The 24,999-nt window shown below is 36.5% G+C and overlaps 1 protein-coding gene across 11 annotated transcripts in view; it reads left to right on the top strand.

The window, feature by feature from the left end:
- HEATR5B (HEAT repeat containing 5B) overlaps positions 1–24,999 on the top strand; it is a 103,478-nt gene that overhangs the window by 17,436 nt on the left and 61,043 nt on the right. For 10 of the 11 annotated variants that reach the window (XM_047444812.1, XM_047444810.1, XM_006712035.5 and 7 more), the window contains exons 9-18: positions 1,027–1,182; positions 1,947–2,197; positions 4,887–4,998; positions 6,204–6,356; positions 7,950–8,049; positions 8,377–8,486; positions 9,457–9,620; positions 10,322–10,497; positions 13,330–13,435; positions 17,094–17,284. In XM_047444812.1, coding sequence (XP_047300768.1) covers positions 1,027–1,182; positions 1,947–2,197; positions 4,887–4,998; positions 6,204–6,356; positions 7,950–8,049; positions 8,377–8,486; positions 9,457–9,620; positions 10,322–10,497; positions 13,330–13,435; positions 17,094–17,284 — 1,519 coding nt within the window. Of the gene's footprint in view, positions 1–1,026; positions 1,183–1,946; positions 2,198–4,886; positions 4,999–6,203; positions 6,357–7,949; positions 8,050–8,376; positions 8,487–9,456; positions 9,621–10,321; positions 10,498–13,329; positions 13,436–17,093; positions 17,285–24,999 lie in introns of those variants that run through there. The other variant, XM_011532935.4, reaches the window with a different exon arrangement.

The following is a 24,999-nucleotide window of genomic DNA, read 5'->3' as shown; positions in this document are numbered from 1 at the left end:
GATGGCACCACCGCACTCCAGCCTGGACAACAGAGCAAGACTCTGTCTCAAAAAAAAAAATTTAATTATAGTCTTCAATTTATTAATCCATTATATCCTAGTCTGTATTATGTATTTTATAGTCTATTAATTAATAATGAATGCAAAAAAGAAAGTTTTACTATCATTTAAAGGTTCTTAATGTTAAGGTCATAAATTCGTTATTTGATTTTTTTTTAAATCCTGAAAGCAGAATTAAATATAATGATACGTATTGGGGATTTGTGGGCCAGAATGTATTCTCAATTAGTAGTTTGGCAAGCGATCTTTGGTTGTCTCTTGTCAAACACATTTCGATTCTAGTGGAAGCTAAAAGGTTGGGGTAGCAGGCAGCAAGGTTAATTAATGGGAACTTACAGAAACATTCCAGTAAGAGGTAACTTAAGGCATTTTCCTTATAGATTCATTTTCTGGTCAGTAATTTAACAGATACCTCCAATATATTGGAACACTTAAAGTAGCAATGGTAATAAAGTAATAATAGCTGTTAACATTTATTGAATGTGTATTATGGGCAGCATTGTGTTAAATTCTTTATATGCACTGACTTTTTAATCACCACAGTACCGTTTGAAATAGGCATGTAAGCCCATTAACAGATAAGGAAATTGGGACAGAAAAATTGAACATCTTGCTCAATGTCACATAACTAATATAACTAGTGGAATTGGGATTTGAACCCGAGTCTTCTTTCTGCAGTATCTGTGCTTTTATACACTGGATTGCTGCTGCTTGCTAAAATTAGGTTGTATTCCTGGAAGCAAAGATGTATCTCAGTATATATTTTAGCATTATTATAAAGCTATTAAACAACATTTTTAAGTCACTTCAGTGTTTAGTTCTACAAGTTTTCTATTGAGAAATAACTGCATAGTTTTTAACACTCGGACATCAACTGGTATGGCTAAAATCATAAATTGTATAGACCAAAAAAATCATACCACAATTCATTTCTCCTATGTCAAAGACATGATTTTGTGTTTCCAGAAGCAGTAGTGAATGACACAAGTGGAGAAAACAAATCTGGCGCAGCAGACATTGCAGCAAGCCAGCATGTGATGGTCTGTGCCCTCCAGGAACTCGGGAGCCTGGTGCAGAGCTTGAATGCCACCGCATCCCCTCTTATTCAAGAAGCATCTATAGGTATGACATTCAGTTACTTGCTAGTATGTGTTTCCACTTTTTTCAGTCATAAGTGTGATTGATATTTAATTCCTGATTAGTTGCTTATCATCATCATTAGCACTTCAGATCATCAGGTTTTACTTAAATTAATATTCATTGTGATAGGCTGGGCGTGGTGGCTCGTGCCTATAATCCTAGCACTTTGGGAGGCCCTGGTGGGCAGGTCACTTGAGATCGGGAGTTCAAGACCATCCTGGTCAACATGGTGAAAGTCTGTCTCTACTAAAAATACAGAAATTAGCCAGCTGTGGTGACACGTGCCTGTAATCTACTTGGGAGGCTGAGGCAGGAGAATTGCTTAAGCCCAGGAGGCATAGGTTGCAGTGAGCCGAAATCATGCCACTGCATTCCAGCCTGGGGGACAAAGTGAGTCTCAAAAAAAAAAAAAGTTTCCTTGTAAAGAATATTGAATTAAATGGTTAAATAAAGTTTTGGAACAGAAATCAAAAGCAATTGTGGTAGTTTTTTTATAAAAATTGACTAAAATTTGTTGAAGACTTCTATTAAATTTTACATCAATATTGAATATAATTGTACTATGTTCTTCATAGAAAATGTTCCTTTGAAGTACTCTACTGTATGTAGTTTTAGGCAAAGTTGTGGATCTATATGTGTGAAAGCTTGGTGATTGTCATTTCAGTTATTGTTTTTTAGATAGTATTTGAGTTTCTGAAATCATTTGACTTCATTAAAGAGTAATATTTTGAGTATTTCTTGTTTAGGGCTTTTGGAGATTGTGACTTCAGTGCTGCTTCATCCAAGCATGGCTGCCCGACTTGCTGCTGCATGGTGTTTGCGCTGTGTGGCTGTGGCATTACCTTTCCAGCTGACACCATTTCTAGACAGGTGTGCAGAACGGCTCAACAACTTGAAGACCTCACCAGAAGCTGTCAGTGGATATAGTTTTGCAATGGCTGCTTTGTTAGGTGGAGTACATCAGTGTCCTTTGGGCATTCCTCATGCCAAAGGAAAGGTATGACGGAGATCCTAGACTTGGGAATGCTGTCACGTGGGCTTTGGTCTTTATAGGAACGCTGCTGTGTTTAGTGTTGAACAGGGTGGTCAAATAACAGTTGTACTATGTTATCATAAAACATAGTGTTCTTACTATGGTGTTAACAGACCCTATTATAATTTGATATTTAATTCTGATGTAAGGATAATAGATTTTGTCCAAGTCTAGTAACATGTTATAATTTATTTTAGAGGGAAAGAGAAAAAAAACAGCCTAGGCAACATAGTGAGACCCCATCATTACAAAAAATAAAAAAAGTTAGCCAACTTCATGGTCCTAGCTACTGGGGAGGATGGGTTGGAAGGATCACTTGAGCCCAGGAGTTTGAGGTTACAGTGAGCTATGAACATGCCACTGTCCTTCAGCCTGGGTGACAGACCAAGACCTACCCTGTCTCAAAAAAAAAAAAAAAAAAAAACCCAACCTTAGATATAGTAATTATTTGAAAGTCAGAGCTTTTCTTTCAGCTTTTAGAAATAAAAGTTCACATTGCTATATATTCAAAGATGTCAGGATAATACGCTATTGTAATATTTAGCATTTTGATAATGTTTAGTAAAAATTGAGTGGTTTTAATAAATCATGGCCGGGCATGATGGCTCATACCTGTAATCCCAGCACTTTGAGAGGCCGAGGCAGGTGGATCATTTGAGATCAGGAGTTTGACACCAGCCTGGTTAACATGGTGAAACCTTGTCTCTACTAAAAATACAGAAAAATTAGCCGGGCATTGTGGCCCATGCCTGTAATCCCAGCTACTTGGGAGGCTGAGGCAGGAGAATCACTTGAACCCAGGAGGCGGAGGTTGCAGTGAGCTGAGGTTGCACCACTGCATTCCAGCCTGGGTGACAGAGAAAGACTCCGTCTCAAAAAATAAAATAAAATAAAAAATATGAGTAGCTTTTTTTTCTCCTTTCTTTCTGTTGTATACTACTATCATGGTTTTCTTCTCAGTAATCTTAAGTGTTTATATAAATATTATTTGAAACTTTACATAGGCAGATTGGGGCTAGAGTTTTAAATTTTGATTTTTTTTCTGGGACATTAAGCCCATGTCCATTCATAGCAGTTGCATAGCTACCGATGAAATCCAGACTTCCCTCTCACTTTGTCATATCGTTGCTTCCTCATTCTCATCTTCCTCAGACTTTCCATCTTCCCCACACGTCCCATCTTCCTCATACCACTTTCATATTTTACATTTGCCCAGAGACCCTTAGGGACTACCCAGTACTCAGAGAGTAAAATATAATCTCCTTTGTCTGGTAAACTGGTATCTTATAATTTGACTTCATTCCGCCGTTCATTCAAATTTCCTGTTGCTCTAATTAGACTAGTTATCTTCCTTCCTTCCCTGGCCTTTTTCAGCTTCGAAGCCTTTGCTCTGCTAACCTCTTAGAGTTTCATCTCCCCTCTTATTCAGCTGCACCAAATTTAAGTCTATACTAGCCATTCTGTGTGGATGTTAATACAGCAAAGTACCGAGAACAGTGCTAGCCCATGTGACCACTAAATAAATGCTGTCATTATTAGCACTATTATTCCACATTCAAAGATTTGTTGAACTCCTATTATGCATCTACCATTGAGCTAACCTTGCCTGGGCGTGGTGGCTCAGACCTGTAATCCCAATGCCTAGGGAGGCCGAGGCTGGAGGATCACTTTAGGTCAGAAGTTTGAGACCAACCTGGGAAACATAGTGAGACCCTGTCATACAAAAAATAAAAAATGAAATTTTTAAAATTTTCCAAGTATGTTGGCATACACTTGTAGTCCTACCTACTCAGGAGGCTGAGGTAGGAGGATCCCTTGAGCCCAGGAATTCCAGGTTACACCGAGCTATGATTGTGCCACTGCACCCCAGCCTGGGTGACAGAGTGAAACCCTGTCTCTAAAAAACAAACAAATAAGTAAGCTAATCTTTTGGAGCTTACAGTCTTAGAAGACACAGGAAAAATGAGAAGTGGATTTGTCACATGATGAAATGACAAAGTAGTAGCATAGATGCTGTATTAACTTATTTTATCCTTGCAAGGCTGAGATAGGCATTCCTATTATTTCTGTTTTACCAGTGATGGAACTAAGCAGTGCTAAATGAGAATGCGAGTAAATGGCAGAGATGGCATTTGGCCCTAGAGCTTGTCCTTAACTACTACACTGTTCTGGGTCTCTTCAGAGTCATCAGTGCAATCAAGACTAACCAGGTCTTGATGTTGCCTCTTTCAAAAACATGCTAATAACACGAGAGGACAACTTCTTTTTTTTTTGGAGACGGAGTCTCGCTCTGTCACCCAGGCTGGAGTGCAGTAGTGCAATCTCTGCTCACTGCAACCTCCGCCTCCCCAGTTCAAGCAATTCTCCTGCCTCAGCCTCCCAAATAGCTGGGACTACAGGTGCCCACCACCATGCCTGGCTAATTTTTTTGTATTTTTTGGTAGAGACAGGGTTTCACCGTGTTGCCCAGGCTGGTTTTGAACTCCTGAGCTCAGGCAATCTGCCTGCCTCAGCCTCCCAAAGTGCTAGGATTACAGGCATGAGCCACCGCATCCAGCCAACAACTTCTTTTAAGTAATGTATGCTAGTTATCTGTTTCCTTATTTAATTTAACTTGTTTGAATTAAAATCCAATTCTAAACTTTTCTTGCAGATGGTAGTTAGTATTGCTGAAGATCTTTTACGAACTGCTGCCCAAAATAGCAGGCTATCTTTACAGCGCACCCAAGCTGGCTGGCTTTTACTTGGAGCACTTATGACTTTAGGTATAATTATATTTGAGTAGGATTTTTGTCACGCTATAACTGTCAGTAGCCTGTAAAGCAAATTTAATTTAAAAGTGTTAAGCTTCACATTCTGGATTTTCATTGAAGTTGTAAAAATGGTGTAAAGATGTTTTCCTCGTCATTTGCTAGTAGATTTCTCTTTTTGGTAATTATTGCTTAAGTACATTTAATGAGAAAGTTGTTAGCAAAGTTTCACCTTTACCATCAGAATAACCTTTGTCTACCTGATGAGTTTAGTGTTTAAAAGAGATGAAAATATGAGGGAAAATTTCATACCCTAAGTGAAAACCAGCAGTGTGATTTTAGAAGAGTGGTAAAGTCACATTTAATTGGTATTGTTAGTGCTGCTTTTCTGGGGTAACCCTTAATGTGTTTCACTCTTAAGTAGTGTGACAAATCTGCATTGTAGGCAAAATTTAACATTGTACATAGTACAAAAATACCTATTATTGTGATGGGGTATGTTCATATTTTAGTTCATATGTTTAGCTGCTGCTGTAAAAAGTGTGTGCATATATGTACTACAAAGTTATGACACAGATCTAAGCATCTATCTGTTGGAAATTATACTTTGACCTACTTTTCTTTTCTGAAGAAAACAAAAAGTTGCAACTCATTTCCAGAAGTTTATGTTAAGTATGTTCAGTGGTATGTTAAATGAATTTTTTAGCAATGTAAATATAGATTCCTAGGTCTGAATATATTGCCTTTCCATGAAACTAAATTAACCACATAAATTGCCCCCAAAACTAAGGAATATGTATCTGTATGTGTGTGTGAGTGGGTATATTTGTTTATATACATATGTATATGAAAAAGACCTCATAGAATGTGTCTCAGATATATTTTATTGATAATATGCAATCCACCATTCTCAATACAGTTGGGTTATCCTTTAAAAATTGCTTTTTGTGTATTTTATGTTTGGATTCTAAAAATATTGACAGTTTAAGGTGAATTTTGTTATGCTTTGATCTATATTTTAATCAGTGAATAAAGGTTGAAAATAATGTAATTTTAGAGATAAAAATAGAGTGAAATAACAGATATTGTTAAACATCAGTATTTTACTCTATTTTCATCTCTAAAATTACATAAAGTTTGTGTTGGGCTCATTTTGCTTGACACTTGTTTGTAAGGTATGTTACATATACATGGTTTTGTATTCTCATTTTCTTGGCTAGGACCATCTGTCGTTCGTTACCATCTGCCCAAGATGTTGTTATTGTGGCGAAATGTTTTCCCACGTTCCTTAAAGGAATTGGAAGCTGAGAAGGCCCGAGGCGATTCTTTTACCTGGCAGGTAACTTTGGAAGGTCGTGCTGGAGCTCTATGTGGTAAGAACTGAAAGGATTGTGCTTCACAATATTATGACATAACTAAAATATTTGTAAAGTAAAAGAAAAATCACTATTTTATAGTTTTTTATTTTACTAGGTAATGATAAATTCATAGGCTTTTAGATTTAAATAGAAACTTTATAAATGATCCACTTCAGTTTGCTAATTTTGTAATAAAAATGAAACCCAGACTCTGAAAAAGTGTTTAGACCTGGTGGTTAGACAGGAACTAGAACCCAGGCCTCTTATTCCCACTTGTTGCTATCTTACCTGTCAAAGAAGCACTGAGTCACCATGTATAAAAAAAAGAAAAAATACCCAACAGCTATTTAAAGAAAAAGAAACTCAGGATTACCAAAGTTATTGGCATTTGCAGTTAGTCTTTTCATAATGGAGAAACAGCTGTTTTTTCACATCCTTATCAAATCTCCAAACCTTCATATATTTTTCAGATATCAACATTACAAAAATAACGGATACAGTTGTTTTTGTCTGGGAGTTAACAGCTTACAGGAAACGCTCAGGTTTTGTTTCGTTTGATAACTAGAATGACATTGGATGTACCAGTTCTTTTTTGGTTTATCTCAGAGTGAAAACTACTTCTTTTTCCAAACTGGGAGAGAGATACATGTTTCACCACAAGGGCAGCCAGGCAAGGGGGCACCTTTACTCTCACACATCTAGGAGGTGTTTTAGTCTAGGCTCTATTGCTAAGGGGCCAATAAAAATATTTTTTTCTCACTGGACCATTTTTGTTTATATACATATATATTTACACAAATATATGTAAAAATTCAAAATGCAAAAATATATGTAGTGGCCGGGTGCTGTGGCTCATGCCTGTAATCCCAGCACTTTGGGAAGCCAAGGCGGGTGGATCACTCTCAGGAGTTCTAGACCAGCCTGACCAATATGGTGAAACCTTGTCTCTACTAAAGATACAAAAATTAGCCAGGCGTGCTGGTGCTTGCCTGTAGTCCCAGCTACTCAGGAGATTGAGTCAGGAGAATTGCTTGAACCTAGGACGTGGAGGTTGCAGTGAGCCGAGATTCCGCCACTGCACTCCAGCCTGGTTGACAGAGTGAGACTCTCTCAAAAAAAAAAAAAAAAAAATATATATATATATATATACACACACACACACACACACACACACACACACACACACACATATACATATATATCTGTAAAAGTTGCAAAAATATATTTAATATATGTAAAAATTTCATGTAAATTTTAAGGCATTGTTTATACACATAAATGTATATGTGTATAAACAATGCCTTAAAATTTCTTTCTTTGTAGTCATCTGAATTCCTATGGGATCATAGTCCTCTGAATTTCCACCCGAAGAATCTCTCTAACCAGTACCTTCTCTTCCTCCATTTTTCTATCCACCTTTTTTCTAGCCTTTTCCACGATTTTTCTTTGTAGTTGTTGCAAGTTTTTCTTTTGGTTCGACATGGTTTCAGAACCTTATACGTTATAATAATTAAGTATTACAACTGCCTTTATATTTATACAATTTTATAAATTAATTCATGTTCACAAAAGCTACTCCAAATCTGTCCTTTTAAACATTTTATCTAGCCATGAGGAGCTTCGTTGCACATTGTCCTGAGCTACTAACTGAAGATGTGATTCGAAAATTGATGACCCCTATTGAATGTGCCATGACTATGATGTCACAGTAAGTAAGCGATTGAGACAAGTTCACATCCTATTTTATATATTAATAATATACTTCTCAGCCATATTTTGTGCTTTCTTCTAGAATCATCTAGGAAACATAAAACTTTATTTTTGTAATATAACTTTAAAAATTACAGCAATGGTGTGGATTGAAATACAGTTGTATCTTAAAGTGTTTTTGTTACAGCAAAGATCACAACATAAGCTAAAATGAAAGTGTATACTTATCAGTGTAGTTTGGCAGTACATTGATACATTGCTAAAAAAATTTATAAGTAATACTTATTCTGGTAAGCCATTACCAACTATGTTTTTGATATTTTAGCATTCCATCTGTAATGAAAGCCCATGGAGCTCATCTGAAAGCTAGTGCTGCAATGGTCCGTTTAAGACTTTATGATATCTTGGCTTTGTTACCTCCAAAAACTTATGAAGGTAAATTAAAAATTTGTGGTATCTGATAAAAATTTTTCTTTACAATTCTTCACCGTATTATAGAGTCTTGACAAAGGCTCTCCCACTGACTTACTGTGCAAAGGAAGGCCACCATTTTATTTTTCTTCATGTAGAGTAGCTGATACTTGTTGACTCCTTACTGTGTTCTGGGTCTCGTTTTCAGCCTTTTGTATTAGCTTTTTGACTGTGTTGCAACTTATGAGGCCTTTAGCCCTATTTTATAGATGAAGAATCTCAGATTGAGAGACTTAAAGAAACTTAACTTACCCAAGACTTAGAGGTAGTTAAGTGGCAGAGCTTGGATTCAAATCTAGCTGGTTTATCTTCAAAGTGTGCACTTTTGATTAATACACTGAAATGCTTCCTATATACTGTAATATAGCAAATAATTCGAGGATCTGGAGGGAGAAATCAAATATTATGTAAAATATTAATAGTAAAATAAACTATTGATTTCTTTCCAGTATAATCATGCCAAAGAATTTTGGTGTGCTGTGGTTCATTGTACATTATTGGGCAATAAATAATAATAATCATATCACATTTAATATATTTAAAATAAAGTATCTTTGTTTGTGTGTGTCTTTCAGACAGGGTCTTGCTGTGTTGCAGAGGTTTGTCTCAATCTCTTGGGCTCAAGCAATCCTCCTGCCTCAGCCTGCTGAGTAGCTGGGACTACAAGCATGCTATGGCACCCGCCTCTCTTTCCTCTATTTGAGTTTTTTGGTTATTTTAAATAATTTGGGCTAAAAGACACAATACAATATATGAAAGGAAGTACCATTATTGTATATTAAAACCAGCATTTAAATATAGATTTTTTTTAAAGAAGAGAACAGAGACTTAATTATTTTATTCCTGTTGAACATGTTGCAGCTCTTTGTGGGCAATGATTATAATTTTCACAAAAATTATTCTTTTTAATCTGATCTGAAGTTCTGTTTTTTAGGATCTTTTAATGCACTTCTTAGAGAACTGGTAGCGGAATTCACTTTGACTGACAACTCAGCCAACACAACTACTTCCCTCCTCAGATCCCTCTGCCATTATGATGATAGTGTTCTTCTTGGTTCTTGGCTTCAGGAAACTGATCATAAATCAATTGAAGACCAGGTAATAAACATAGAGGAAAATGAAATACTAACTTAATCTGAAACAATGGTCCTATTACACATTGTCACTTAAAAAGAAAATAGTGTATAGAAAGGTTTAATCCCCATTTAGTGTTCTTAGACACTTAAAGATGGCATCCTGGTGGTAGATAGTGAAAAAAGTTAAACAGGAAGAGTGAGAATTTGGCAAATTGTCTTTATTTAATATTCTGTGTATTTAGATACCTTGTGGTGGCTGTGATAAAGATCAGTTTTAACTGGCTTTTTGGTTATTGGTATTTTGTTTTGTTTTAGTTTGTTTTGTTTTGTGACAGGTTGGAGAGGAATGAGTTAGTAGGTTGAAGATTTAGAACTTTTGCCCACTGAATACATTATTTCTTATGTACTTTTTAAAGAGTGATTAAAGCCCCATTTAAAATAATTGTGGGATTAAGATCTTGTGTATATTGTTCACGCAATAAGGTGGGTGGTGTAAATATGTTTTCGAATGAATAAAGCTTTTCTTAAAATTTGTATAAGGTGTTACTGATGATTTTTTAATGACCAAATTACATTTTGGTCTGTTTTCAAATGTTCGGATCCAATCATTCTTTTTTTGTTGCCTTTTCTCCTTTCTCCTCTGCTGTAATCCTCATTCCCAATGTTTAATAAGTAGATTTCCTAAAGTAGATTTTGAATAATTTTTATTTCACTCTTTTGCAGCTCCAGCCAAACAGTGCCTCTGGAAGTGGGGCTCTGGAGCATGATCCTTCCTCTATTTATTTACGCATACCTGCTGGAGAAGCAGTACCTGGTCCCCTCCCTCTCGGAGTCTCAGTCATTGATGCTTCTGTGGCCCTTTTTGGTGTAGTGTTTCCTCATGTTTCTTATAAACACCGGTTAGTATAAAGTCAATCAGGTAATTTTTGTTAAATATATATTATGTTAAACGAAAAGTAGATTTTCTCATCCCAGTTAACTCTGCAATAAAGTGAGTTATTATAATACTTAAAACAGTACTCTTACAGATTTACTAATGTAAGTGACAGATACATGATAAAAAAATTGCATGCAAATTGCACATAATTTGAGACTTTATGTAAGATTTGACCCTGTGTACTAGCATCTGATATCTGTTGTATTGTGGACTGTATTTTATAACAAAATTTTCATTATATATGCTAGAATGACAACTGTTGGCAAAAAAAAAAATGCATTATAATAGTTTGTTTGATAGTTCATACATAGGTTTTGACTATATCTTAAATTAAGGACATCAGTTTGCTAAGCCTGTTGACTTTGTTGTTGAGGAAGTAAATGGATGAAAATTCCAATCACTAATAACGTTTGTGAGATGGTTCAAGTCTAGAACTTGGAAACTAACATAATTGGTTCTTTTTGTAATAGAAGCATTTTGGTTTGGTATATTCTGTATCCACAGACACTATTCCTAGCTTTAGTAGGCAGTTTGTATATTGTGATTTTCCCAAAAGGAAAACAGAAATGAATTAATACAAGACCATCACAGATAACTTAAAAGCTTTACAAAATTAAAATGCCTTAAAAGTATTGTTGGGTCTGGTGTGGTGGCTTATGTCTGCAATCCCAGCGCTTTGGGAGGCTAAGGCAAGAGAATTGCTTGAGGCAAGGAGTTTCAGACCAGCCTGGGAAACATAGTGAGACACTCATCTCTACAAAAATTACAAAATAAAAAATGTCTTTAATATGTAGGTTGCTTGATTAATTGCTTTTTAATTTGAGGAGAAAAAAGTTTAAATATGAAACTTTACCCAAATATCTTTAAGAACATTTGGTTGCCACATAAATGTTAAATGATGTTAAAGGTGGAAGAATCTTATAAAGCATCTATTTCAACATTTTGGTTTTAAATCTTAAGGACATCCATATCTAAGAGTTTGGTTTACCCAAGGTTATACAACTAGTTATGAAAGCTATAACTGAAATCCAGGATTATCTCAATTCTGTATGATCACTTTTACAGAATAAGATGAAGTATAAATAAATAAATTCTATTAAAAATATAAACATATAATAAATAACATAAATATTCAACAGTAGGAGGATAAGTGAATAAATAATAGAAAGTCCATTTTTGTAGAGACAGTGTTTTGATAGAAGATGCTCATGATACAATGTTAAATTAAAAAGGTAAAAAGCAAGAAGTGATCCTACTTTGGTTTTCAACCAGCAGGCTGTGCGGCTTAATATATTTACTGCTGTTCTTAGTGCACAAAAGGTACTTACTTACTTTTAAGAATTTTTTAAAGTACATCAAAATGTGCATGTATACACGTACATCTGAATCTGTATCTTCATATGAGTTTTGAATAATGCTTTGACCTGAGACCTGAGACCTGTAGACTAGTATAAATTGAGCTTTAAATCCTTACAGCGACCTCAGGGAGATTTTATTACCAACTTGAGGTCATAATTGTCTTAGTACTAAATCCAACTTCCTTGGATTCCTTTGTTTCACATCATTTCTTTTTAGAAGAATGCTCTCTCACTCTCTTTTTATCAAAATCTTCTGAAATGGGCCGGGCGTTGTGGCTCACACCTGTTATCCCAGCACTTCGGGAGGCAAAGGTGGGCAGATCACCTGAGGTCAGGAGTTTGAGACCAGCCTGGCCAACATGGTAAAATCCTTCTCTACTAAAAATACAAAATTAGCTGGGTGTAGTGGCGAACACCTGTAGTCCCAGCTACTCGGGAGGCTGAGGCAGGAGAATCATATGAACCCAGGAGGCAGAGGTTGCAGGGAGGCAAGATTGCACCATTGCACTCCAGCCTGGGCAACAAGAGCGAAACTCAGTCTCAAAAAAAAAAAAAAAAAAAAATGCAGAGCACAGTGGCTCACGCCTGTAATCCCAGCACTTTGGGAGGCCGAGGTGGGCAGATCACCTGAGGTCGGGAGTTCGAGACCAGCCTGACCAACATGGAGAAACCCAGTCTCTACTAAAAATACAAAATTAGCCAGGCGTGGTGGCGCATGCTACTCGGGAGGCTGAGGCAGGAGAATCACTTGAACCTGGGAGGTGGAGATTGTGGTGAGCCGAGATCGCGCCATTGCACTCCAGCCTGGGCAACAAGAGCGAAACTCCATCTCAAAAAAAAAAAAAAAAAAACAGAGAAATCATCTAAGATGGCCATGGATTTTTTTTTTTTAATAAACTGATTCTTTTTTATTAATATAAAAAACAATTCACTTCTGGTTTTTTACATTTAAAAAAATTAGCCAAAGCTAAATCTTTTTTGAACTTTCCCAAAAGCTTCTGAGGCTAGGACATGAGGTACTATTCTAAGAGTATTTTTAAAATAGGAAAAAGAATTATACTACATTTAAAATTTTCTAACTTAAAAATCTTCCACGGAGATACATAATTAATGATTGTTATCTTTGCAAGAAACCTTGAGCGTCTACTAGATGCCAGGCGCTTTGTTGGACAGTGCTGTTAATGTTGAAGACCACTGCAATTGTGACCTTATTTTGTTAATTGAAACTCTTTTCTTGTTCCATTTAATAACCGCATGTCCATATAATATTTTGGGAGAAGGAGATCTGGTTTGGACTAGCTGTGGGAATGAAATAGAAAAGAGATAGCATGGGGAATTATTTGCTAAACAATTAACTTGTACTCTTCTTATCCGTTTTTGAGCCATATTGGAATAAAATTTGTCACTAATGTGATTTTTTTTTCTTATTGTTATAGATTACAAATGTTGGATCACTTTGCTGAATGTGTTAAACAAGCTAAAGGTGTCCGCCAGCAGGCTGTGCAGCTTAACATATTTACTGCTGTTCTTAGTGCACTAAAGGTATTTACTTTTAATACATACTATTCTGAAATAAGTTTTTAATTAATGCATTTAATAAGCCAGACATAGCAAGATTATTATAATGTTTATATGTAAATCACTTGGTAACTGTGCCTTTACGTTAGCTTAGTTAAATTACTTGAAACTTTATGTTAGGCTCAGTGTAGTTAAATAAATGTTTTATATTTTAATGTTGTTAAAGTTTATGTTTCAATTTGAACTTCAGATTTTACAAGTGCCAATAAATTCTTTCAGAATTTTCAAAGATGTTTGACGAATGAAATCGGATATTCTACTGAAGGTTAACTAAATAGAGCTGAAGCTTGATCTGTGGTTTAGGCCACAAATCATGTGAGGCAGTGTTACATAATTGAAAGAATGCTGCATTTAGAGATTGCGTTCTCATTAAGCTACTCTAGGTTTGTGTCCAGAGTAATTTCTTTAAACTTTTTTAACCTTTTTCGAGTTGTAGTTTCTACAGGTATGAAGAAGAATACAGTAGTCCCTTCCTTATCTGCAGTTTTGCTTTCTGCAGTTTCAATTACCAATGGTCAACTGTGATTTGAAAATATTAAATGGAAATTTCCCGAAATAATTTATAAGTTTTCAATTGTGCAACATTCTGAGTAGCATGATAAAATCTTGTACTGTCCTGTTCCATCTTGCCCTGTCCTGCCTAGGATGAGAATCATCTCTTTGTCCAGTGATTCCACACTTTCTACCCTACCTGTCTGTTAGTCACTTGGTCACCATCTGTCTCAGTTATCAGATGGGCTGCTGCAGTGTGGCAGCACCTATGTTCAGATAACCCTTGTTTTACTTCATACTGGCCCCAAAGTGCAAAAGTAGTGATTCTGGCAATTTGGATATGCCAAAGGGAAGCTGTAAAGTGCTTCCTTTAAGTGAAGAAGAGAAAGTTCTCAACTTAAGAAGGCAAGAAATAATATCATATGCCAAAGTTGCTGAGATCTACAGGAAGAACAAATCTTCTGTCTGAAATCATGAAGAAGGAAAAAGGAATTTGTGTTAGTTTTGCTGTCCCATCGCAAATTACAAAAATCATGGCCATGGTATGTGATAAGTGCCTAGTTAAAATTGAAAAGGCATTAAGTTTGTGAGTAGAAGGCATGAACAGAAACAAGTTCCCATTGACAGCAATCAGGTTCCTAATCCCATGGTTCAGACATCCAAGGTGGGCCTTGGAATGTGTCCCCTGTGGAAAAGAGGGGACCACTGTTACAAATAGTTTGCCTATCTCACAGGATTCGCGCATCATACTAGGCACTCTATCATAAAGTGTTTGAATACTTTTTATATTATTCAGTGCTAAGCTTATTTTAAAATAAAATGGTAGCAAATATGTGTTTGCATGAACATGTCTTAGGTCATGCTTAAGTCATATTTTGTAAACATCAGGGAAAAAGGATATATATAGGCATTGATTATAGAAATAAGGGTTTGGGGCTGGGCGTGGTGGCTTATGCCTGTAATCCCAGCACTTTGGGAGGCCGAGGCGGGGGGATCACCTGAGGTCAGGAGTTTGAGACCAGCCTGGCCAACATGATGAAACTCCATCTCTACTAAAAATACAAAAATTAGCCAGGCGTGGTGTCAGGTGCCTGTAATCCCAGCTACTGGGGAGGCTGAGGCAGGAGAATCACTTGAACCTGGGAGGCAGAGGTTGCAATGAGCCGAGATCATGCCATTGCACTCCAGCCTGGGGGACAGAGCAAGACTCTGTCTCAGAAAAAAGAAAAAAAAAAGAAGAAGAAATACAGGTTTGGACCATTTATATAACCATTAGTATGTACTCTGAGGAGACCATCAACTAATTTGGACCTGTGAGTTTTTTAGAAAAGGAGTGGGGTGGTCGTGGTCTCCTTCAGTGATTGGGAGAGTAGTGAACCAACTGTAATATTGCTGTACAGATTACACTTTTCTTCATAGATATGCTAATGCCTCTGTTGTAGTTAACATTTTCCCCATGCAATGTGACATAGATTTTTGGTCTCAAATAAATAAATAAAGTTCCAGGATGGTAAGTACAGCTAGAACAAAGAGAGTGACATTTAATATGATGAGCAAACTACTTCAACATTCAGTTACTAATTACTATTTTTACCTTTTTTTTTTTTTTTTTTTTTTTTGAGATGGAGTTTCGCCCTGTTGCCAGGCTGGAGTGCAGTGGCGTGATCTCAGCTCACTGCAACTTCCACCTCCCAGGTTCAAGCGATTCTCCTGCCTCAGCCTCCCGAGTAGCTGAGATTATAGGCACGCGCCATCATGCCCAGCTAATTTTTGTATTTTTAGCAGAGACGGGGTTTCACCATGTTGGCCAGGATGGTCTCAATCTCCTGACCTCATGATCTACCCACCTCAGCTTCCCAAAGTGCTGGGATTACAGGCGTGAGCCACTGCACCCGGCCACCTCATTTGTTAGTTTATTTATTTTTTTTGGAGACGGAGTCTCACTCTGTCGCCAGGCTGGAGTGCAGTGGTGTGATGTTGGCTCACTGCAGTCTCATCTCTGCCTCCCGGATTCAAGTGATTCTCCTGCCTAAGTCTGCTGAGTAGCTGGGATTACAGGCATGTGCAACCACACCCAGCTAATTTTTTTTGTATTTTTAGTAGAGATGGGTTTTCACCATGTTGGCCAGGATGGTCTTGATCTCCTGATGTCATGATCTCCCCGCCTTGGCCTCCCAAAGTCGGGGATTACAGGCCTAGGCCACCGCGCCTCGCCTCATTTTGTTTTTAGATGTATGTTGATTATACTGTTTAAGTCATATAATTGTCTTCTGTGAAATTTTTATATAAACTATTCAGTTTCATATTCATCAAGAGTATGAAATACTCTTCCAAATATCCTCTTTCCAAATATTTGCCATTGATTCTGAAATTATTTTTTTGTTAAAGATTTCTTAAAAGATAGAACCAATCCATTTAATGGTTTGTGCTCTGTTTCATAACAGGTGAAATAGGAGAATGTTTCCTTAGAGTGATAAATTTCAATCAGTTAAATAATGGTTGATTTAGTAATACAGTGTCCTTAATATATGGAAGTAACTTTTAAGTACTAGTCTTTGAATAGAGACACTCCCCGCAAGTGTCTCTTAGGGCCAGTCAGACTATGGCTGTGTTATAGATCACGTTCTGAAATCGTATTTAGGAAAGTAATTACCGTGAATTGAACAGTTACAGATTCTAGACATTAGTATATACATGTGAAAACTGGTTGAAGAAAATAACTTATGAAGATGTATGTATATTTTAGAAAGATTGCAGCATGTATTTTTCCTTTATTTAATATGAATTGCGAGGCCAGGTGCGCCTGTAATCCCAGCATGTTAGGAGGCTCAGGCAGGAGGATTGCTTGAGCTCAGGAGTTTGAGACCAGCCTGGGAAACTTAGTAAGACCCTGTCTCTACAAAAACTTTTTAAAAATTAGCCCAGCAGGGTGGCATGCGCCTATAGTCCCAGCTACTCAGGAGGCTGAGCTGGGAGGATTGCTTGAGCTCAGAAGGTCGAGGCTGTAGTGAGCAGTGATTGTGCCATTGCACTCCAGCCTGGGCAAGGGAGCAAGACCTTGCCTTAAAAAAAAAATAATAATAATGAATTATGAATTGCTGTCTTTTTTTTTTTTTTTTTTTTAATGTAGGGCTTAGCTGAAAACAAAAGTACTTTAGGACCTGAGGAAGTTCGTAAATCTGCCCTGACACTGGTTATGGGTCCTCTGGACAACCCAAACCCCATCTTACGTTGTGCAGCGGGGGAAGCTCTTGGAAGAATGGCTCAGGTGGTTGGAGAAGCAACTTTTATTGCTAGAATGGCCCAATATAGCTTTGACAAGTAAGTGGGTTTCTTTACTAACAAGTTTCATGTGTAGGCAAAGATGTCTTTTAAATAATAATCAACTGGAGTTTATGTTTTCCACATGGTATACAGCATGTGATAATATTTTGTGGGTTTTTTGTAATGATCTCAATTTTTAATTTAGCAGTTGATTCAACTCTAGAATCTGGGAAAGTTGTAATATGTTAGATACTTTCTGCGTGGAGAGGGCTTCTAATCCAGCTCTTGAATGTTGCTTAATGAAATCAAGAAAAATGTTAATAAGGACTTCTCTGTTATGTGTATTCACTGAAGAGGTGCTCTGACGTCATTTTCTCTCCTCCCTCCCTTTCCTTGTCCCTCTTTATTCTTTCTGTTAATTATCCACTTTTTGGAATAAGCCATTCTTTTTCTAACTGCTGCCAAGTTTATCTCTTAAATTATGACTGAAACAGAATAGTTAAGCATCAGGTTTTAAGGATTCACTTATATATTAATTATAAAGAGTGATCTCAGAGACCCAAATAAGTATCATTAAGATGATGAGTTGCAGTTATTAGTGATGTTTCATTAAGATGATGAGTTGCAGTTATTAGTGACTATTGACTTGTTAATCAAGTGCATAAGTAGAGAAATTAAAAATCAAGGGTTGTCAAGAACTGACACTTGTGTTATGTAAATTATATCATTCTTAGCTATCATATATATAGAGTATTAAATATAGCAAACTATGTCATGGTCATTAACAAAAGAGTATGAAGCAGTGGCTATGAAGTAGTAGTTCTGAAGAAAATGTATTTTCTGAATTATTGCCTATCTGTAAATAGCTTTCCTTGTCTTGACTTGTAAATGGCAATTTGATTCGTTATTTGGTAATGCCCTAATGCACTAAGGATAGTATGAGCAGGCAAAAGACAGTTAAAATATAACCAGACACTTAATCTTCTGCAGAATGATTGCTGCTATTTTCTAGCAATAGATTAGTTTTCCTCTTTCCAAATATTTGCCATTGATTATGAAATAGCTTTTTATTAAATATTTATTAAAAGATAGTAACAATCTTAGTTATCCATTTAATGGTTTGTGCTCTGTTCATAACAGGTGAAGTAGGAGTATGTTTCTTTAGAAAGCTCTTGAAGGGTAATTTTTTTTTTTAATTACAAGGAGTTTTAGTTTATGTGTCCTTGGCTGGGCGCGTTATCTTTTGCCTATAATCCCAGCACTTTGGGAGCCTGAGGTGGGTGGATCACTTGAGCCCAAGAATTCTGGATCAGCCTGGGCAACATGGTGAAACCCTGTCTCTACAAAACATACAGAAATTAGCTGGGCATGGTTGAATATACCTATCGTCCCATCTACTTGGGAGGCTGAGATGGGAGGATCGCTTGAGCCTGGGAGGTGGAGGTTGCAGTGAGCCAAGATCATGCCATTACTGTCCAGCTTGGGTGACAGAGCGAAACTCTGTCTCAAAAAAAAAAAAAACAATGTGTCCTCAATATCTGTAGGGTACTGTATTTATTTTGTACTTTGATGAAACACAAGGACATTTCATTTATTTATACCTGTCCAATTTAGTTGTTTGCAAGTATCATCAGTGCTTGCCTTCATTATCTTTTTCAAATCCTTATGATCTGAAATAATTATTACGAAGATTTTGTTACCCATTTTTTCACATTTTATTTAAAACTGGGATTTTTCTGAAATTCTGTATGAAATGTCATAATATTTGGCAGCATTTTAATTCTTTTATACTGCTATGTAAAGTAATGGTACATTTTTTAAAACGATGGTGTCTTAGATTTGGCAGAATCTGGCTGTATTTTGGAAAAACTTCAGTCTTTCACAGCCTCATTATATTAGACTGTTTTCATCAACATCATCTCTTCTGATATAATATCTGACTGTGAAATGCTAAAATCATCTATAGCTACAGGTCCGTCTTGTATATTTGCACATTGAAATCTTATACTAACTTAGCATTAAGACAGAAATTCACAGAAATTAAGACAGGAATCATTCTGTAAACCATTCTAGGTTAATAGGGAGTACCTTCAATTGCTTAAGACCCAGTTTGGATAAAAATAAAAATCTTTGATAGTTGAATTTATTTCCATTCAATTGAAAGTCACTTTGAGACCTCTGAGAAATGTATATTCTTATATCTAAGATTATTTACTGTGAAGAGATGATTATCACTGTGAACATTGATTCTGCTTTAGGTTCACTAACCTGTTACTTTTTGAGAAATAATAACACAAAGGTAACTTTCTAATCTGTGTAATGTTTTAGAATTCACAGATTGCATTTATTCTTAACTTCTTTATTCCTCAAAACAACTGCTCTTTAGGAATAATAATAATTTCACTTAGAGAAATGGAGGCTTAGAGAGGTAAAGATTACTTATCCAAGGATATAATATGTTAGAAATAATGTTACAGATAGACCTACTTCACTTCATTCATTGCTACATTTATTTATTTATTTTTTTTTTTTGAGATGGGATCCTGCTGTGTTGCCCAGGCTGGTCTCAAACTCCTTGGCTAAAGCAGCCCTCTCACCTCAGCCTCTTGAGTAGTTGGGATTACAGGAGGGAGACACCACACCCAGCTTCTTTTTTTTTTTTTTTTTTTTTTTTGAGGTGGAGTCTGGTTCTGTTGCAGATGTGCAATCTTGGCTCACTGCAACCTCCACCTCCCAGGTTCAAGTGATTCTCCTTCCTTAGCCTCCCGTGTAGCTGGGATTACAGGTGCAGGCCACCATGCCCAGCTAATTCTTGTATTTTTAGTAGAGACAACGTTTCACCATGTTGGCCAGGGTAGTCTCGAACTCCTGACCTTAGGTGATCAACCTGCCTCGGCCTCCCAAAGTGCTGGGATTACAACCGTGAGCCACTGCACCCAGCCTGCCACATTTCTTAACATCTGTTCTGTGACAGCACTTAGAATTTTCTTTAGTTTGCAGTAGGCAAACTGGCCAACTAGAGTCTTGGGGATGATTATTCGTCTCTCAATATTTTTTTTTTTTTTTTTTTGAGACAGAGTTTCCCTGTTGCTGCCCAGGCTGGAGTGCAGTGGTGCAATCTCAGCTCACTGCAACCTCCACCTGCCGGGTTCAAGTGATTCTTGTGCCTCAGCCTCCCAAGTAGCTGGGATTACAGGTGCCTGCCACCACGCCCGGCTAATTTTTATATTTTTAGTAGAGATGGAGTTTCGCCATGTTGGCCAGGCTGGTCTCAAACTCCTGACTTCAAATGATCCACCCACCTTGGCCTCCCAAAATGCTGCGATTACAGACATGAGCCAGTGCGCCTGGCCCATCTCTTGACTTTTAATGAGGTTGCCAGAAGTCTGGTTGTGGATAGCTTATTAAGAGTTTTAATAAAGTTTTGAAAATACAACCAAATTGCTTTTTAGGCTGCTTTGTTAATTTAGGTGCATTGTTCCTAGTAGTATTTTGTTCTGTTTTCTAATAGTAATTGACTGTATTGGTGCATGATTATGAGTCATAGTATTTTATGGCTTAAAAAAGTATTTCTTCATAGCTTCTTTTATTTGATCCTTTCCATTGTTCAAAATGAAGTTTACATGTTAGCTTCATTTCAAATCTCTACATTACTAGTTAAATATGAACAAAATGATGAAATCTTATTCTTTCAGATAAACATTAAAAGAATGTACAGGACTTTAACTGCCATTAGTGGTGGAATAACAGGGACTGTATTTACCCTTGTGTCTTAAATTGTTAGAAAAACAGATAAAATAAATGAAACAACAGTTTTGAGACATTGGACAACAGCCAGCATAGGACAGTGATTCCTAGGAATGGGAAAGAAACAAAGGGAACACTAAAGATGCTCCAGATTACTGCTTGAAGAAAGTTTCCAGGCTTAAGTACAGAAATAGGAAACCCAAACTTGAGGAGAGAGCATTTGCAATTTGGGGAGGCAAGGTAGCTAGAATGTGTAGGGTGGAATAACAGAGAGGAGAGAGCTGCACAGGGAGAGAGCTATGAACAGAAGGATCATCTAAAGTCTTTGGCTGAATACTGATATGTGCAGAATACAAGGAAACTACCCAAGACTGGGGAAGGAACCACCAAAAGGGAATAGGTGAAACAATTTTCAGAACTCACAGGGCTGAGAATATTTTGTGTTCCCACTATTCAGAATAGAAAGACCTCCTGAGGTGAAGCCCTCGGAACGATATTGCTTCAGTAATGGGAGCAACATCCCTGACCCACCCTAAAAAAGCTTAAAAGCAAGCCTTGAGAAAATCAAACTGATTCTTAGTAGTAGCTGAACTGTATCCCAGAAAAAAACTCAGCAATATTTAAAGGAATATAATAAATGGAGCAACTCAACATCATAAAATTCACAATATCCTGTATCCAATCAAAAATTACTAGGCACATAAAGAAGCAGAAAGATAAAACCTCTTACTTGGAGAAAACATCAATCAATAGAAACGGCCCAGAAATGAAAAAAAAAGATGAAATTAGCAAATAAGAATATTAAAAGAGCTATTATAAATATGCTTTACATTTTCAAGGAAGTACAGGAAAACCTGAGCATGATGTGAGAAAAGGAATTTGTAAAAACAGCCCAAAGGAAACCTAGAAATGTAAAATGTATGAAATGAAAAAATGCACTGGATAGGATTTACAGAAGGTTAGACAATGAGGTAGGAAGAACAGGTCAGTCAGCTGTATTTGTGTATTGACATCTTACACCAGCTTAGAATTAAGACCAAAATTCACAGAAATTGAGAAAAGATCATTCCAGTGATGTTGAAGACATAGAAACTATCAAAAATGAGGCGTAGAGAGAAAAAGGACTGGAATTAAAAATGAACAGAGTCTCAGTGACTTCTGGGACCAATATCAAGCTGTGTAACATGCATATAATTGAAATCTCAGCAAAGGGTAGGTTAAGAACTCTTATATATTGCCAGTAGAAATGCAAAATGTTACAGACACTTTGGAAGATAGTTTGATGGTTTCTTATAAATGTAAATATATGCTTCTCTTTTGCCTACCAGTTCCACTTCTAGGTATTTACCTAAGAGAAATGAAAATGTATGTGCATACAAACACTTGTACTCAAACTTTTATAGTAGCTTTATTTATGAGAGCCAAAAACTGGAAAGTATCCACAATTATCAATGGTTGAATAGATAAATAGTGATGTATTCATAAATGGAATATTGTTCAGCTATATAAAAAGAGCAAACTACTTTTACAATAAATTGGATGAATCTTAAAAGCTTTGTTCTATGTAAAATAATCCAGACCCCAAAGACTAGGTACTATCTGATTTCATTCGTATGAAACTATATAAAAGGTAAACTATAATGATAGAAGACAGCTCAGTGGTTGCCAGGATGTTGGGGGAAGGAATATGACAACAAAGGGACCTAAGGCAACTTTCTGTGGTGATGAAAATGTCCTATATCTTGTGTTGTCAATATGGCAGCCACTACCCACATACGACTATTGAGCAGTTGAAATGTATCTTGCCCAAATTGATACACGCTGTGAGTGTGTAATACATATTGGATTTTGAAGACTTAGTTCAAAAAAAGAATGTAAAATATCTCAATAATTTGGTATATTGATTACATCTTGATATTTTAATATTTTGGATATATTGAGTTAAATAAAATGTATTGAAATTGATTTCAAGGCAGGAGGATCACTTGAGGCCAGGCGTTTGAGACCAGCCTGGACTCTAAAACCTTCATTTCTATTTAAAAAAAATAATTTCACCTGTTTCCTTTTTGTCTTCTGGAGTGTGGCAACTAGAATATTTTAAATTACATATGTGGCTTCTATTAGGGACTTCAAAAAGTTCTTGAAATAATAGGATGAAAAGATACAAATAAAATACAAACTTTTTTTCTCAACATAAGCTCCATCAGGTTCAAGACACTTTTGTAAGTGATGATGCCAGCCATTTAGTTCATCCCTAAACTGAGAATCCTGGGAATTTAACCATGTCAATGAAGTCTTTTTTGCATTATTAACTGAAGAAAAATGAGCACCCTTTAAATATTTTTTTTAAGGATTAGGAAACAACAACAACAAAAAAGTCATAAGAAGCCAAATCAGGACCATAAAGTGATTGTCTAATGACTTTCCATTGAAACTCTTGCAGAATTGCCCTTGGAGAAGAACTCTCTAGTGAAGCTTTCCCAGTTATTTTTTCGCTAAAGCTTTGGCTAACTTTCTCAAAATACTTTTATAATGAGCAGATGCTATTGTTCTTTGGCCATTCTGAAAGTCAAGCAGCAAAATGTATTAAGCATTCCAAAAAACTTTTGCCATGACCTTTGCTCTTAACTAGTCCACTTTTGCTTTGAATGAACCACTTTTACTTCTTGGTATCTATTGATTTGATTGTGCTTTGTGTCAGGTTCATACTGTTAAAGCCATGTTCCATCTCCTGTTACAGTTCTTTAAAGAAATGCTTCAGGGTCTTGATCTCACTTGTTTAAAATTACCATTGAAAGCTCTGCCTTGTCCGCAGCTGATTTGGGTAGAACAGTTTTGGCACACATCAAGTGGAAAGTTTGCTCAACTCTAACATTTCAGTCAGAATTATGTAAGCTGAACCAGTTGAGATATGTATGTTGTTGGCTATTATTTCTGCTGTTAATCATCAATACTCTTCAGTTAGGGCACAGATAAGATGCATTATTTTCTCTCAAATTGATGGGTGTGGTCTTCAGCTTTGGGCTTCATCTTCAGCATTATCTCATCCCTTCTTTTTTTTTTTTTTTTTTTTGAGACAGAGTCTCACTGTCGCCCAGGCTGGAGTGCAGTGGCGCGATCTTGGCTCTCTACAGCCTCTGCCTCCCTGGTTTAAGTGATTCTCCTGCCTCAGCCTCCGGAGTAGCTGGGATTACAGGAAAGTGCCACCACACCCAGCTGATTTTTGTATTTTTAGTAGAGACAGGGTTTCACCATTTTGGCCAGGCTGGTCATGAACTCCTGACCTCGAGTGATCCACTTGCCTTGGCTTCCCAAAATGCTGGGATTACAGGCATGAGCCACTGTGCCCGGCCTGCCTCATCTCTTCTTAAAATGAGCTATTCATTTGTAAACTGCTGATATCTTTGACGGCATTGTCCTCACAAACTTTCGTAAAGCATCGGTGATTTCACCATTCTTCCACCCAAGCTTCACCATAAATTTGATATTTGTTCTTAATTCATCTTTAGCAGAATTTGTGTTGCTCTCATAGGGGCACTTTTCAAACTGATGTTCTTATCCTTCTTGGTGCCTAAAACTAGGTCCTGTTCAGATATATTATAACAAGTTAGTACGAGTTTATTTTGGTACCCCAAAATGTTGAAATCCATGTATAGTTCTTGCATAATGTGTAGTTTCCATAAACTTTTTGAAGACCCCTCGTATTCATCTTGGACATCTCTGTTCTAATGATTATGTGGTGGTTACATACTGTATACTTATCAAAACTCATTAAATTGTATATTTTAGTATACATTTAAAATTTAATTGTATACCTAAAGTTGGTGAATATTGTATGTGAGTCTCAATAAAGCTTATTTTTTAAAGTAATGTTCATCTCTTTTTATGTATTTGAATTCATTTAAAATATATTTCACAAAGAAAAAAGATTGGCCTTTTTTAAAGAGGTTCAAATCATAATTATAGGGTATTTCTTAAGTGTAAAATATTTTATGTAATACTGTGAAAACAAATACCTTTTTACT

The sequence above is a fragment of the Homo sapiens genome, chromosome 2 (genome assembly GCF_000001405.40).
Source record: "Homo sapiens chromosome 2, GRCh38.p14 Primary Assembly".
NCBI lineage: Eukaryota > Metazoa > Chordata > Mammalia > Primates > Hominidae > Homo > Homo sapiens.
This window is presented reverse-complemented; position numbering and strand designations above follow the sequence as displayed.